This window comes from Homo sapiens, chromosome 9 (genome assembly GCF_000001405.40).
Source record: "Homo sapiens chromosome 9, GRCh38.p14 Primary Assembly".
NCBI lineage: Eukaryota > Metazoa > Chordata > Mammalia > Primates > Hominidae > Homo > Homo sapiens.
In genome coordinates this window covers 69,274,400-69,291,502 of record NC_000009.12, presented here as the reverse complement: position 1 = coordinate 69,291,502, position 17,103 = coordinate 69,274,400, and the positions used below count along the sequence as shown (strand labels likewise).

General features: G+C 40.3%; 1 long non-coding RNA gene across 1 annotated transcript in view, besides 2 other annotated features; it reads right to left on the bottom strand.

Annotated features, from left to right (window-relative positions):
* The window catches only part of LOC124902176 (uncharacterized), a 22,662-nt gene extending 5,559 nt beyond the window's left edge, over positions 1-17,103 (bottom strand). Inside the window, exon 1 of the long non-coding RNA XR_007061567.1 lies at positions 17,013-17,103. This is a non-coding gene — a long non-coding RNA (uncharacterized LOC124902176). The remainder of the gene's footprint in view (positions 1-17,012) is intronic.
* Positions 7,410-7,911: an enhancer, noted in NCBI's record as "NANOG hESC enhancer chr9:71898508-71899009 (GRCh37/hg19 assembly coordinates)". NCBI's record gives its function as "activates a minimal SCP1, AML or CMV promoter by ChIP-STARR-seq in naive H9 embryonic stem cells {active_cell/tissue: H9 hESC(naive)}" and the evidence as "EXISTENCE:reporter gene assay evidence [ECO:0000049][PMID:30033119]".
* Positions 7,915-8,683: an enhancer, noted in NCBI's record as "OCT4-NANOG hESC enhancer chr9:71897736-71898504 (GRCh37/hg19 assembly coordinates)". NCBI's record gives its function as "activates a minimal SCP1, AML or CMV promoter by ChIP-STARR-seq in naive and primed H9 embryonic stem cells {active_cell/tissue: H9 hESC(naive and primed)}" and the evidence as "EXISTENCE:reporter gene assay evidence [ECO:0000049][PMID:30033119]".

Here is a 17,103-nt window from a genome sequence, read left to right as displayed (position 1 = left end):
ATTGTGAATAGTGCTGCAATAAACATACGTGTGCATATGTCTTTATAGCAGCATGATTTATAATCCTTTAGGTATATACCCAGTAATGGGATGGCTGGGTCAAATGGTATTTCTAGTTCTGGATCCTTGAGGAATTGCCACACTGTCTTCCACAATGGTTGAACTAGTTTACACTCCCACCAAAGGTGTAAAAGCATTCCTATTTCTCCACATCCTCTCCAGCACCTGTTGTTTCCTGACTTTTTAATGATCGCCATTCTAACTGGTGTGAGATGGTATCTCATTGTGGTTTTGATTTGCATTTCTCTGATGGCCAGTGATGATGAGCATTTTTTCATGTGTCTTTTGGCTGCATAAATGTTTTCTTTTGAGAAGTGTCTATTCATATCCTTTGCCCACTTTTTGATGCTGTTGTTTGATTTTTTTCTTGTAAATTTGTTTAAGTTCTTTGTAGGTTCTGGATATTAGCCCTTTGTCAGATGGGTAGATTGCAAAAATTTTCTCCCATTCTATAGGTTGCCTGTTCACTCTGATGGTAGTTTCTTTTGAAGTGCAGAAGCTCTTTAGTTTAATTAGATCCCATTTGTCAATTTTGGCTTTTGTTGCCATTGCTTTTGGTGTTTTAGACATGAAGTCCTTGCCCATGCCTATGTCCTGAATGGTATTGCCTAGGTTTTCTCCTAGGGTTTTTATGGTTTTAGGTCTAACATTTAAGTCTTTAATCCATCTTGAATTAATTTTTGTATAAGGTGTAAGGAAGGGATCCAGTTTCAGCTTTCTACATATGGCTAGCCAGTTTTCCCAGCACCATTTATTAAATAGGGAATGCTTTCCCCATTGCTTGTTTTTGTCAGGTTTGTCAAAGATCAGATGGTTGTAGATGTGTGGTATTATTTCTGAGGTCTCTCTTCTGTTCCATTGGTCTATATCTCTGTTTTGGTACCAGTACCATGCTGTTTTGGTTACTGTAGCCTTGTAGTATAGTTTGAAGTCAGGTAGCGTGATGCCTCCGGCTTTGTTCTTTTGGCTTAGGATTGTCTTGGTAATGCAGGCTCTTTTTTGGTTCCATATGAACTTTAAAGTAGTTTTTTCCAATTCTGTGAAGAAAGTCATTGGTAGCTTGATAGGGATGGCATTGAATCTATAAATTACCTTGGGCAGTATGGCCATTTTCACGATGTTGATTCTTCCTATCCATGAGCATGGAATGTTCTTCCATTATTTGTGTCCTCTTTTATTTCGTTGAGCAGTGGTTTGTAGTTCTCCTTGAAGAGGTCCTTCACATGCCTTGTAAGTTGGATTCCTAGGTATTTTATTCTCTTTGAAGCAATTGTGAATGGGAGTTCACTCACGTTTTGGCTCTCTGTTTGTCTGTTATTGGTCTATAGGAATGCTTGTGATTTTTGCACATTGATCTTGTATCCTGAGACTTTGCTGAAGTTGCTCATCAGCTTAAGGAGACTTTGGACTGAGACAGTGGGGTTTTCTAAACATAGAATCATGTCATCTGCAAACAGGGACAATTTGACTTCCTCTTTTCCTATTTGAATACCCTTTATTTCTTTCTCTTGCCTGATTGCCCTGGCCAGAACTTCCAACACTATGTTGAATAGGACTGGTGAGAGAAGGCACCCCTGTCTTGTGCTGGTTTTCAAAGGGAATGCTTCCAGTTTTTGCCCATTCAGTATGATATCGGCTGTGGGTTTGTCATAAATAGCTCTTATTATTTTGAGATATGTCCCATCAATACCTAATTTATTGAGAAGTTTTAGCATGAAGGGCTGTTGAATTTTGTCGAAGGCCTTTCCTGCATCTATTGAGATAATCATGTGGTTTTTGTCTTTGGTTCTGTTTATATGATGGATTACGTTTATTGATTTGCGTATGTTGAACCAGCCTTGCATCTCAGGGATGAAGCCCACTTGATCGTGGTGGATAAGCTTTTTGATGCCAAAGTCACATCTTACACGGCGGCAGGCCAGAGAGCATGTGTAGGGGAACTTCCCTTTATAAAACCATCAGATCTCCTGAGACTTTTTTACTTAAAAGAGAACAACATGGGAAAGACCTGCCCCCATGATTCAATTACCTCCCAACGGGTGCCTCCATGACAAGTGGGAATTATTACAATACAAGGTGAGATTTGGGTGGGGACACAGAGCCAAACCACATCACCATGCATCTAACTAAAAATCAGAAGTTCCATTATTGAGGAAGAACAGAAGAATGGGTTTGGAAAACCAGCAGTCTCAACCACATGAAAGTTTTCAGGTTTATTGGTATAAAACTATTGCACTCTTTTTGTTTTTAAAATCTCAATTGTATCAGTAATTATTTTCACTACTTTGGTCCTAATATTTTATATTTGTGTCCTTTCTGTCTTTTCTTGGTCAGTCAGGCTAGCACTTTGTCTGTTTCATATTTTGTGTCAAAGTAACACCTTTAGGATTGTTGATCTTCTCTATTAATTCTTATTTTCTAGTTTTTGCATTTTTCCTTTATTATTTCATTTTATTTGCTTACTTTAGGTTATTCTATTGTTCTTTTTCTAGGTTCTTGAATTGGATACATAATTCATTTATTTTCAAACTTGTTTTTCAAAAATAATAAGGAATTAGACTATCATGTGGTTCCTGGCACATAGCTCCTAATCCCGTGGAATTTCCTGGGTGATAGGCATATCTTTTGTTCTAGTGAAGTGGCTCTTGGTGAGCTCTTGGATGGCGGCTGGTCACCAGAAAGACCAAGCCATAATTAGAAGCGTGGAACTTTCAGCCTCAACCCCCATCTTCCAGAAAGGGAAGAGGGGATGGAGACTGAGTTAATAATCATGCCTACCTGATGAAACCTCCATAAAAATCCCTGAACGGAATTCAGAGAGCTTCTAGGTTTTGGAACATGCGGAGGTGCCTGGAGGATGGAGCAGCCAGAGAAGGTATAGAAGCTCCACGCCCCTTCCCATCTGCCTTGCCCTGTGCATCTTCAGAAGACACCTGGCTGGTCATCTGCATCCTTTGTAATATCCTTTATATAAATGGGTAAACATAAGTACAATGTTTCCCTCGGTTCTGTGAGCTGCTCTTGTAAACTAATTAAACACAAAGACAAGGTCATGGTCGCCCCCAATTTATAGCTGGTTGGTCAGAAGTCTGCGTCAAATATGACCTGGGATTTGTAACTGGCATCTGAAGTGGGAACAGTGTTGTGAGACTGAGCCTTTAATCTGTGAGATCTGATGCTATCTCCAGGTAAGTAGTGTCAGAATTGAATTAAATTAACTCATTGTCCGCTGGAGAACTGGTTGTTGGTGGGGGAAGTCCCCACACATTTTGTTGATTAGAGGTGAAGTATTTTGTATTGAATGTATTGGGAGTTAGAGTAGGAAAAACAGTTTGGTTTTTCCTATCTCAAACAACTATACATACTGTTTTAGAGGCAATAAGTTTATGTATACTACCTTCCTAGTCACTTAGTTCTAAATATTATGTAATTCCTAGTGATTTCCTCCTAAACCCAAAAGACATTCAAGAGATCACTTTTAAAGCTCCTAATACATGTGTGATTTTAAAATGTCTTTCTACTTTAATTTCATCATGATTAGTAAAATGTTGTCTGAGCTGAAATATCAGTCCTTGGAAGTGTGTTGAGATTTCCTTTGAAAATAGTGAGTGGGCAATCTTTTGTAAATATCTCATGTTATTGCAAAAGAATGTCTAAATCAAGTTTGCTTGTTAATTTGATTGTTAAATCTTTTAAATCATTATCTTTTTAAAATATATATATATTTCTATTAGAATTATGCTAAAATCTTTAATATGTTTGTGGATTTGTTCACGTCTTCTTATAATTCTGGCAGTTTCATATTTTGTAGTTGTTAGGTACAGTGGTCCCTCTTTACTCCGTTAATGCTTTTGTTTATTAAATTTTTCTGCTTTAAGAAGCTTTCTTTTGTTTAGTATTTGCTTGCTATATCTTTCGCCATTCATCTGTTTTCAACTTTTCTGTGTGTCTTTGTTTTAGTTGTCTCTGTTGTAAGTACAGGTTTTGTTTTGTTGGTGTTGTTGTTGTTTCCTTAAAATAGGGTCTCATTCTGTCACCCAGACTGGAATGCAGTGGTGTGATCTCAGCTCACTGCAAACCCTGACTCCCTGGCTCAAGTGATCCTCCCACCTCAGCCTCCCGAGTAGCTGGGACTACAGGCACGCACCACCATACCCAGCTAATTGTTTTATTTTTGCAAAGATGGCATTTCACTGTTGTCCAAGCTGGTCTTGAATTTCTGGGCTCAAGCAATCCACCTGCTTTGGACTCCCAAATGGTGGGACTACAGGTCTGAGCCACTGCACCTGGCTGGCATAAGTATAGTTATACCTCAAAGACCCAATTTGATTATGTCTGTCTTTAATAAACAAATGTAGTATATTTAACTTTGTTGTATTTACTGATTCGTTTTGACCTTTTTCTACCATATATTGTCTATTTTATCTCAAGATATTTTTATTTTTTTCTCTTTTCTAGACTGATGGATTGATAACATTTTCTGCATTTTCCCTTCTTTTCTCCCTAGGGTGATTTGTATTCTATACTTGCATGGCTTGTGCTTTTAGTGTTACCCTAAGGCCAGCCTTTTTTTTCTGTAAATGTTGAAAGCTATTCAATATTTCAATGCTACTGCAAGACTTGAAAAAGGCCTATGATTTACACACAGAAATCCTTTTGCCCACCTCCATCCTTTCATGTTACTGTTGACCTGAATTTTAGCTTATCCTTTCTTCTAACAAAACATAGTTATATCTTGGGGTTTATAACACATATGGATTGAACACATATGTCAATAATAGCACAGGGTGGGGTATGAACCTATCATGGAACAATGTTGCTATATTTTAGCAGAATTAGTGTTAATCTGGAGTAGATTATCAGAAGTTAAATATCATATTATAATCCTTGGAGCAACTGCTTTAAAATTAAAAAGCTAGAGCAGAACTGAAGGAGATAGAGACACAAAAAACCCTTCAAAAAAATCAATGAATCCAGGAGCTGGTTTTTTGAAAAAGTTAACAAAATAGACCGCTAGCTAGACTAGTAAAGAAGAAACAATAGAAGAATTAAATAGGGCACAAAAAAAATGATAAAGGGGATGCCACCACTGACCCCACAGAAATACAAACTACCATCAGAGAATACTGTAAACAGCTCTACACAAATAAACTAGAAAATCTAGAAGAAATTGATAAATTCCTGGACACATACCACCTCCCAAGAGTAAACCAGGAAAAAGTCAAATCCCTGAATAGACCAATAACAAGTTCTGAAATTGAGGCAGTAATTAATAGCTTACCAACCAAAACAAGCCCAGGACCAGATGGATTCACAATTGAAATCCACCAGAGGTACAAAGAGGAGCTGGTACCATTCCTTCTGAAACTATTCCAAACAACTGAAAAGGAGGGACTCCTCCCTAACTAATTTATGAGGCCAGCATCATTCTGATACCAAAACCTGGCAGAGACACAATAAAAAAAGAAAATTTCAGGCCAATACCCCTGATGAACATGAATGTGAAAATCCTCAATAAAATACTGGCAAACCAAATCCAGCAGCACATCAAAAAGCTTATCCACCATGATCAAGTTGGCTTTATCCCTGGGATGCAAGGCTGGTTCAACATATGCAAATCAATAAACGTAATCTATCACATAAACAGAACCAAAGACAAAAACCACATGATTATCTCAATAGATGCAGAAAAGACCTTCAATAAAATTTAAAATTCCTTTTTGTTAAAAATTCTCAATAAACTAGGTATTGATGGAACATATCTCAAAATAATATGAACTGTTTATGACAAACCCACAGCCAACATCATACTGAATGGGCAAAAGCTGGAAGCATTCCCTTTGAAAACTGATACAAGACAAGCATGCCCTTTCTCACCACTCCTTTTCAGCATAGTATTGGAAGTTCTGGTCAGGACAATCAGGCAAAAGAAAGAAATAAAGCATATTCAAATAGGAAGAGAGGAAGTCTAACTGTCTCTGTTTGCAGACGACATGATTCTATATGTAGAAAACCCCATCGCCTCAGCCCCAAAACTCCTTAAGACGATAAGCAACTTCAGCAAAGTCTCAGGATACAAAATCAATGTGCAAAATTCACAAGCATTCCTATACTGCAACAATAGATGAGCAGAGAGCCAAATCATGAATGAACTCCCACTCACAATCGCTGCAAAGAGAATAAAATACCTAGGAATACAGCTAACAAGGGACATAGAGGACCTCTTCAAAGAGAACTACAAACCACTGCTCAAGGAAATAAGGGAGGACACAAACCAATAGAAAAACATTCCAACTTCATGGATAGGAAGAATCAGTATTGTGAAAATGGCCATACCGCCCAAAGTAATTTATAGATTCAATGCTATTCCCATCAATCACTGACATTCTTCACAGAATTAGCAAAAACTACTTTAAATTTCACATGGAACCAAAAAAAGAGCCCATACAGCCAAGACAATCCTAACCAAAAATAACAAAGCTGGAGCCATCACATTACCTGACTTCAAACTATACTACAAGCCTACAGTAACCAAAACAGCATGGTACTGATATCAAAACAGACATACAGAAAAATGGAACAGAACAGAGACCTCAGAAATAACACCACACGTCTATAATCATCTGATCTTTGACAAACCTGACAAAAACGAGCAATGGGGAAAGAATTCCCTACTTAATAAATGGTGCTGGGAAAACTGGCTAGCCATATGCAGAAAACTGAAACTTGGACCCCTTCCTTACACCTTATACAAAAATTAACTCAAGATGGATTAAAGATTTAAATGTAAAACCCAAAACCATAAAAACCCTAGAAGAAAACCTAGGCAATACCATTTAGGACATAGGCATGGGCAAAGATTTCATGAAGAAAATGCCAAAAGCAATTGCAACAAAAGCCAAAATTGACAAACGGGATCTAATTAAACTAAAGAGCTTCTGCATAGCAAAAGAAACTATCATCAGAGTGAACAGGCACCCTACAGAATGGGAGAAAAATTTTGCAATCTACTCATCTCACAAAGGTCTTATATCCAGAATCTACAAAGAACTTAAACAAATTTACAAGAAAACAAATAAACAACCCCATCAGAAAGTGGGCAAAGGATATGAACAGATACTTCTCAAAAGAAGACGTTTATGCGGCCAACAAACATATGAAAACAAGCTCAACATCACTGATCATTAGAGAAATGCAAATCAAAACCACATGAGATACCATCTCATCCCAGTCAGAAACAATAGATGCTGGTGAGGCTGTGGAGAAATAGGAATGCTTTTACACTGTTTGTGGGAATGTAAATTAGTTCAACCATTGTGGAAGACAGTGTGGCAATTCCTCAAGGATCTAGAACCAGAAATACCATTTGACCCAGCAATCCCATTAGTGGATATACAACCAAAGGAATTTAAATCATTCAACTATAAAGTTATATGCACAGGTATTTTTATTGCAGTACTATTTACAATAGCAAAGACATGGAACCAACCAAAATGCCCATCAGTGATGGACTGCATAAAGAAAATGTGGTATATATACACCATGGAATACACTGCAGACATAAAAAGGAATGAAATCACGTCCTTTGTACGGAAATGGATGATGCTGGAAGCCATCATTTTCAGCAAACTAACCCAGGAACAGAAAACCAAACACCGTATGTTCTCACTCATAAGTGGGAGTTGAACAATAAAAACAGAGAGAAACAACACACACTGGGGCCTGTCGGGGGGTGAGGGGCAAAGAAGAAATAAAATGCTTTCCAATTTTTACAGTTGATAATTAATTATATTCACTGACATATTGTTTCAATTTCTGTGTTCACCATTTTATCTTGTTTATCTTTTTAGATTAACTTCACTTCCAATTGAACACATCATTTAATAATTCTTTTGGTGAAAGTCTGGGAGTATTAAACCATCTTAGTTTTTGTATGTCTGAATAATCTACATTTTGCTTTCACTCTTTTTGATGGTTGAGATGAATATAAAAACTATGGATTTCATGAAAAACATTTTTTCTTACCCCTACTTATTGGAGTCAAACTCCTGGCTGACTATGCCTGCTCCCAAAACTAAAGCCCAGCAGGTTTGTGGTGCCAATCCGGCTATTATTCTGCATTTCTGTTCTGTTTGTTCTGCTCTCAGCATGTCTTTGCATTTGGATATGTCTTCCATACTTTCCTTCACTAGGACTCATTCTCAAACATGAATGGTCAGCCAAGGATCACCAAACACTTGAGGAAAGCCTCTCTCACAAGAAGGAGATTAAGGAAACAAAAGGAATAAGGAGCTCAGAGGAAACAGACAATGAAGAAAGCAGGAAAAGATTAAAGCAAAACAAAACACTGTTATTTTCAGTGCGATGATAGACAATAGTAAATTGGAAGAGGATTTCTTTAAAGGAACAAAGAACAAGAAAGTGAAATAGCAGCAATACATTTTTACTAGAATATTTAGAAGATAACATTGAGAATATCTCAACAGCAAAAAATAAAATAAATCTCAATAGCAAGAAATAAAATAAAATAATTTTTTGAGAAATTGATGCTCTTTTGGTAAAAAAAAAAAAAATTTGAGAAAATCTCACAGAAAAAACACAAAGACAAAACAGATGGATAATAAGAGAAAAAACATGAGAAAAACTAGAAAATGAATTTAGGAGATCCAATATCTTATGAATAGGAGGTCCAGAAAGGGAAAAAAGAAGGAAGAAAATTAACAAACGATTTTTTAAAGTCAGAACTGACAAACCTAAGTCTTCAGACTGAAAGACCCACAACATGCCCAAGTGCAATGAATAAAAAAGTGCTCACTCACATATATATCTCTGGGAAATATTAAAACATCAGACATAAATAAAGTGCCTAAGAGCATCACAAGATCCAAAATAAATAAACTGTTCATACATGAAGAATCAGGAATCAGAATGGCCCTGGTCTTCTAGCATCACTGGGTACTATGTTTTCAACCTTAATTCTACTCCCACATTGAAAATGAAGTGCAATGGGGGAGGGCGCGGTGGCTCACTCCTGTAATCCCAGCATTTTGGGAGGCCAAGGCGGGCGGATCACTTGAGGTCAGGAGTTCGAGACCAGCCTGGCCAACATGGTGAAACCACGTCTCTACTAAAAATACAAAAAAAATTAGCTAGGTGTGGTGGTGCATGCCTGTAATCCCAGCTACTCGGGAGGCTGAGGCAGGAGAATCGCTTCAACTCAGAAGGCAGAGGTTGCAGTGAGCAGAGAACATGCCATTGCACTCCGGCCTGAGTGACAGAGTGAGACTCCATCTCAAAAACAAAAAAACAAAACAAACAAACAAAATGACGTGTAATGGCTGGGTGCAGTGGTTCACACCTGTAATCCCAGCACTTTGGGAGGCCGAGGTGGGTGAATCACTTGAGGTCAGGAGTTCGAGACCAGACTGGCCAACATGACAAAACCCTGTCTCTCCTAAAAATACAAAAAAAATTTAGCCAGGCATGGTGGGGCGCACCTATAATCCCAGCTACTTAGGTGGCTGAGGCAGGAGAATTGCTTGAACCTGGGAGGTGGAGGTTGCAGTGAGCCGAGATGACACCACTGCACTCTAGCCTGGGTGACAGAGTGAGACGCTGTCTCAAAAAATAATAATAATAATAAAAATAAAAATGAAGTGTAAAGACAGAGCAAAATTATTTTGAGACATGCAAAGTCTTTAAACATGTATCTGCCTTGCACTGTCTCAAGAAGCTACTGGAAGGCAATATTCTCACAAAAATAAGCAAAAAACGAGTAAGTAAACCAAGAATGAAAGACATGGGAGAATTAACATGGGTGCCCAGAAAGGGAAAATCCAGATGACAGCTGTGAATCAGGCCTCGGGAGCAAGCAGTCCATCGGGGCACCATCACAAAGAGCTACAGGAGGGAGGACTCTGGGGGTAAATGAGCTGGCAGAGTGTTTGAGCATTTGGGAAATGACTGATAGGCCCATTAAGAGACTTATCAGAGAATTAGGAAACACATAGAAAACTAAACAAGTGGAAAAAATGAAGTAATTACTAACTCCAGGAATAAGTGAATAATTAAGGATAAAGGATAAACAATATGAATGCTCTCTGAGTCAAAGTGCCATAAAAATGGCATGAGCATCATCATGTAAACACGATTTAACTCAAAACTGTGATAGAGATTTAGCAGAGATTATTAGCTGCCTACCCAATGTACATTTCCCCCACCTTCTGTAGTATGTGAACCCCAACTTTATTTATTTCGGTAAAATGTCCCAAGCTAAAAATACGACATGTTCCAGCTTCCCTGGCAGTTAAGTAGGCCAAGTTTTGCCACTAAGATGTAAGTGAGGATACTGTGTAGGACTGCTGAGAAGGCTCCTTATAGGCGCCGATTTTGCTGAGAGAGGAGCTGCCTTTCCCCTTACCTCCTGTCCGAGATGGTGCTCACAAATATTCACTGGCCCTCCCTAGGAGAAAACTATCATTCCCTACCCCATCAACTCAGGCTTGGCCATGTGTCTCATTTTGTATAGTGATATATGAGCAGAGATGACACAAGTCACTTCCAATTAGAAAGTACTAAGAGGTAGTGCACAGTATATGTTGGTTTTTGATCTGCCATGATGATCCGTAAGGTCCCAGAGAGAAACTGCTCCATCATCCTGGGTCCTAGAGGGAAGGCCAGAGAAGCAGAGCAGCTGCCAACCAGTGACAGGTGTGTCATGTGAGAGACTTACTGCTTCTTGTAAGCCAGAGATTTGGGCCTGTTCATTACTGCAGTGTAACCTACCTTATCCTCGTTAATGCAGCCCCTTCCCCCTTCCTTCTCCTGGAAGATGGAAGCCAGAAGGGGGAAGGTTGGGGACCTCCTTCCAGTGCCTTGCACTGTCTCAAGAAGCTACTGGAAGGCAATATTCTCACAAAAATAAGCAAAAAACGAGTAAGTAAACCAAGAATGAAAGACATGGGAGAATTAACATGGGTGCCCAGAAAGGGAAAATCCAGATGACAGCTGTGAATCAGGCCTCGGGAGCAAGCAGTCCATCGGGGCAATCGTGTAATTATTTAACTCGTGTAAACACGAGTTAAATCGTGTTTACATGATGATGCTCATGCCATTTTTATGGCACTTTGACTCAGAGAGCATTCATATTGTTTATCCTTTATCCTTAATTATTCACTTATTCCTGGAGTTAGTAATTACTTCATTTTTTCCACTTGTTTAGTTTTCTATGTGTTTCCTAATTCTTCCAGGTACCTGTGGATGCACCATCCCAGCCCTGAAAGACCTACTTCCCAACTGCTTTTACTCAAAAGAGAAGAAAATTCTGCTAAAACCACTGTCGTTTTGCATTTCCTGTTATATGCAATGGAATCTTATCATCTCTGACAAAAATAACCCTACTGAGAAGATGGGATAAGGGAATTTATGTAGGAATGAGATTAAGTGAGGCACATCCTGCATAAAAATAAGAAGTCATCGGATAGATAGTGTCAAAATACATAAATAAAAAATAGCAGCATCAGCATAATCTTTAGAAATAGGGGGGTAAATAACAACAACAACAAAAACCCCAGCTGACTGAGTTTGAAAGTCATTGTCTCAGAGAGCAGAACTGGGGATGGGGACAGGATGGATAGGGGCTGCTTTATTTTGTTATAGATGTTTTTACGAAACATTTGATTAAAAAAAACTATAGATATGCATTACTTTAACAACAATCAAAATTAAGTTCTTATTTTAAAAAGGTCAAACCAAAACCAAAACATTTTCTCTAGGAATCATATCTAGAAAACTCAGCACTCAACATCTAGGCAAGAAAGTCTCCCCAAATAAGAAACAGTCCTCTCAGTTTCTCTCCTTGCTGTGCACCTGACTATTCCCCGATGGAGGAACACATAGCATGACTGCTTACCTGTCTAGAATGACCCACTCCCTGTTCTCAGACCCTGATGTCTCAAATCTTGAGGACTGCCAACGTTTAACTACTGATATGGTTTGGCTGTGTCCCCACCCAAATCTCATCTTGAATTGTAGCTCCCATAATTCCCACATGTTGTGGGAGGGACCCACTGGGAGATAATTGAATCATAGGGGTGGTTCCCCCCATGCTGTTCTTACGGTAATGAATAAGTTTCATGAGATCTGATGGTTTTATAAGGGGTTTCCCCTTTCACCTTTCACTTGGCTGTCATTCTTTCTTGCCTGCCGCCACGTAAGATGTGCCTTTCACTTTCCACCATGATTGTGAGGCTTCCCTAGCCACATGAAACTGTGTGTTTGTTAAACCTCTTTTTCTTTATAAATTACCCAGTCTTGGGTATGTCTTTATCAGCAGTGTGAAAACAGACTAATACAACTATATTTCACTACAACATAATAGCCCCAATCCTGGTGTAAATGTTGTTTAATAGAAACAAAATATTGTAGGATGTGTATTTTCCTTATGAAAGTTCTCCAGCATTTCTCCCCATTCTCTTTTGCTCCAGGGAAGTCTAAAGGGAAGAAAATGAATAAGTATCTCTTTTCCTGTTTTGAACCCAACACGTACTTATTGAACACCCTCCACATGCCCTGTGCTGAAGTTAAAATGGAAGAAAACGGATTTTCTTCTCTCACAGAGCTTACAGTCCAAAATAGGGGCAGTAATCGGCATTTTCAGCAATTTGATCAATTATTTATTAGGGAGAAGCACAAGCTACTGTGGGATCCCATGGTGGGGCCTTTTAACTCAGCCTTGGAAGGCCTCCTGGAGGAGGTGACATTTAAGGTAATACTTAAAGCAAGAGAGAACAGCACTAATGAATCCAGTTGGAAGCACTTCCGAAAAACAAAACTGGTCATATTGAAAGAGGAAGTGGGGCTGGGCGCAGTGACTCACACCTGTAATCCCAAGACTTTGGAAGGCCGAGGCGGGCAGATCACCTGAGGTCAGGAGTTCGAGACTAGCCTGGCCAACATGGCAAAACCCTGTCTCTACTAAAAGATACAAAAATTAGCTGAGCATGGTGGCAGGTGCCTGTAATCCCAGCTACTCAGGAGGCTGAGGCAGGAGAATCGCTTGAACCTGGGAGGCAGAGGTTGCAGTGAGCCGAGATTGCACCATTGCACTCCAGCCTGGGCAACAGAGCAAGCCTCTGTCTCAAGAAAAGAAAGAGAGAAAAAAGAAAGAAAGAAAGAAAGAAAGAAAGAAAGAAAGAAAGAAAGAAAGAAAGGAAGGAAGGAAGGAAGGAAGGAAGGAAGGAAGGAAGGAAGGAAGGAAGGAAGGAAGGGAGAGAGAGAGAGAGAGAGAGAGAGAAAGAAAGAAAGAAAGAAAGAAAGAAAGAAGGAAGGAAGGAAGGAAGGAAGGAAGGAAGGAAGGAAGGAAAGAAAGAAAGAAAGAAAGAAAGAAAGAAAGAAAGAAAGAAAGAAAGAAAGAAACAAAGAAAGAAAGAAAGAAAGAAAGAGGGAAAGAACAAGAAAGAGTCTGTAAAGCCTGGGTTTCCTTCTGGAAGAGAAGCACCCCCTCCCCAGCCTACCACTCTTCTACTGGATGCTAACTTCTATTTGACTTCATTGTTAAAGGGTAGCCCAGCAGTTGCAGTGAGAGGAAGGACGCTGAGGCTTCACCCCCACTCTTCTCTTCCTTTTCTTTAGGTTGTCTCTCCCAACCTTGCTCGTCTCTGGTTCTTCCTTCGTTGTGTTAGCATTTCCCCATCAACTCTGAACAACTGTTGGGGCTATGGAGTCAGCAAGACACATTCCTACCCTATTCAATGTCTGGTGCCAAATAACCACTCAATACATGCATGCAAATCCACATGATTAATAATGTTCCCTAGAAAAGACTTGGAACCAACCCAAATGCCCATCAATGGTAGACTGGATAAAGAAAATGTGGCACATATACACCACGGAATACTATGCAGCCATAAAAAAGGATGAGTTCATGTCCTTTGCAGGAACATGGATGAAGCTGGAAACCATCATTCTCAGCAAACTAACAGGGGAACAGAAAACCAAACACCGCACGTTCTCACTCATAAGTGGGAGTTGAACAATGAGAACATATGGGCACAGGGAGGGGAACATCACACGCTGGGGCCTGTCGGGGGGTTGGGGAGCAAGGGGAGGGATAGCATTAGCATAAATACCTAATGTATATGATGGGTTCGTCGGTGCAGCAAAATACCATGGCACATGTATACCTGTGTAACAAACCTGCACGTTCTGCACATGTATCCCAGAACTTAAAGTATAATAATAATAATAATAATAATAATAATAATAATAATAATGTTCCCTCTCAGCAGAGACAGAATTTCTAATGGAATCATCTGCAACTTTCAGGCCCCTTCCTGAAGAAACAGGATGACGGAAGAACTGGGCCAAAAGGCACATACAAGTCTCAAGGGTCCTCTTCACAGGGCTCCCCAGAGGTTTGCAATCCTTGCGCTGCCTGTGGAATGTCAACATGTTGAGTGCGTAAGCCCTCCCTTAGGACACTTGGAATGTAACCCTACTGGGCAAGTTAGGGACACAATCTTTATTCTCGGATCTTTGCCAGTACCCAGCCCTCTCTATGGCCCTCTTGTTCACACGTTGCTGGAGCTGTAGGTGGGAGGCTCTTTGAACACATCTTAGAAAGAGGCAGACTTGGTCCCTGCCTTTATGGAGCTCTGTTCTTCAAGTTTGTCAGAAGATTCACTATTTAAGCTTAACAACTCTGTTGTGAGGGAGTGTTTTAACCTACTGGGTGTCCACTTTTTACTTAGGATCCTTCTTTGACCTTCCTTTTTCTTGGAGTTTCTCTCAGGGATGGTGGAAGGAAGCTAGACCAAACATCTACCCTTGTTTGTCACAGTAGAGCCAGCCATTGTTCCTTTCCAACACCGTCGCCCTTGCTCTATTTCAAATAATCATTATCCAGAGTCTTGGAAGCACCGTGGGGCATTCCCTTAGGAATGTGGAAATGTGGAAGATAGTATTTTCCAAAATTGGTTACAGCCATATTTCCAGTCCCACATCCTTCCAGAACCTTACCTCTCTCCATCAAGACACAGATTATGTTTCCTCTCCTCTTCAACCTGGGTGGGACTTTGTGACTGCTTCAGTGAATGTAAGGTAGTGGAAATAACGATGCATGATTTGTGAGGCTGGGTCATAGAAGGAGACACAGTTTCCTGCTGCTTCCCTATTGTGGAAGGCTGACCTTCAGAACCCAGCCACCGCGCTGTGAGGAAGCCCTTACAGAAAAACCACATGAGAAAGTTCATGGGGCTGGGTGTGGTGGCTTACACTTGTAATCCCAGCACTTTGGAAGGCCAAGGTGGGAGGATCACTTGAGTCGAGTTCGAGACCAGCCTGGGCCACATGGTGAAACCTTGTCTCTACCAAAAATATGAAAATTAGCCGGGCATGGTGGTGCACACCTGTAATCCCAGCTACTTGGAGGCTGAGGCACGAGAATCACTTGAACTCCAGAGACGGAGGCTGCAGTGAGCCGAAATGGCGCCACTGCACTCCAGCCTGGGTGACAGAATGAGACTCCATCTCAAAAAAAAAAAAAAAAAGAAAAGAAAAAAAAAAAAGAAAGCTCATGGGGAGAAGAACTGGGATTTCAGCCAACAGTAGCATCAACTGCTAGGCAGATAAGCAAAGTGGTCTTCAGATGATTCCAGCTCCAAGCCTTTGAGTCTTCTAGTCGAGGCCCCAGACATCAAGGTGGAGCAGAGACAAGCTATTCTGCACCGTGTCCAGATTCTTGACCCAGGGAATGCATGAGCATAATAAATGTTCATTTCTATCATGCAACTTTGAGGTAATTTGTTAGACAGCCATAGTAACTAGAACAGCAAAACAAGCATACAATGTTATTGAGCCTTCCCAGGTGCCTTCATTATCTCAACATCTGTAGACTCCTTGTCATACTCACTGTGGCACTGTAGCAATGCAGGGATACTGTCTGGATAACCAAGGGTATACTTCTGCTGCCACAGCCAGCTCAGCCATGTGGGAAGCAAAGACATGGAAAATGGACAGAGACTTGCAGAATCATAAGAGTAATTGGGAACTGACTCTGCAGTGAATAAAATGTAATTTGCCCAACACTGACTGCTATGGTTTGAATGTTCCCTCTAAAACTCATGTTGAAATTGCCATTGTGCAGAATTAGGAGGTGGCATCTTTAAGAAGTAATTAGGGGCCAGGCATGGTGGCTCCTGCCTGTAATCCCAGCACTTTGGGAGGCTGAAACGGGTGAATCATCTGAGGTCAGGAGTTTGAGACCAGGCTGGCCAACATGGTGAAACCCCGTCACTACTAAAAATACAAAATTAGCTGGCTATGGTGGCACATGCCTGTAATCCCAGCTACTTGGGAGGCTGAGGCAGGAGAATCACTTGAACCCAGGAGGCGGAGGTTGCAGTGAGCCAAGATTGTGCCATCCCACTCCAGCCTGGGCAATAGAGTGAGACTCTGTCTCAAAATAAATAAATAAGTAAAGTAAATAAAAAGTGATTAGGTTGTGAAGGCTATTTGAATGGACTAATGCTGTTATCTAGGTTCTGGGTTAGTTGGCTTGGGAATGGACTCCTGATAAAAAGGCTGAATTCTCCCCAACTTCCTCTCTCTGTCTCTCACTTGTGCTTCCTCAGCACATGATGCCTTTTGCCATGGGATGACCCTTGCATGAAGTTGGCATCATGCTCTTGGACTTCCCAGCCTCCAGAACCATGAGCCAAATAAAATTCTTTTTTACATAAATTACCCAGTCAGTGGTATTGTTATAGCAGCAGAAAACAGACTGAGACACAGACCATCTCTTATCCTGATGTTATGTTTACTAGGACTCTGTTTTGGGCATTGGTATTTTATAATCCCCCTAACATACACAAACACACAAACGCACACACTTTTTTTTTTTAAAGAAAGAACAGAAGGTATTTGGGGTATGGGGAGTTTGAATCAGTCCATACCTCTGTGCTTTATCACCTCCAGCTTTTGGCTTCCCTTAAGGCCTCCTGCAACTCATGCACATCCAGTCCTTCTTCCTTGGTTTGCTAAAAG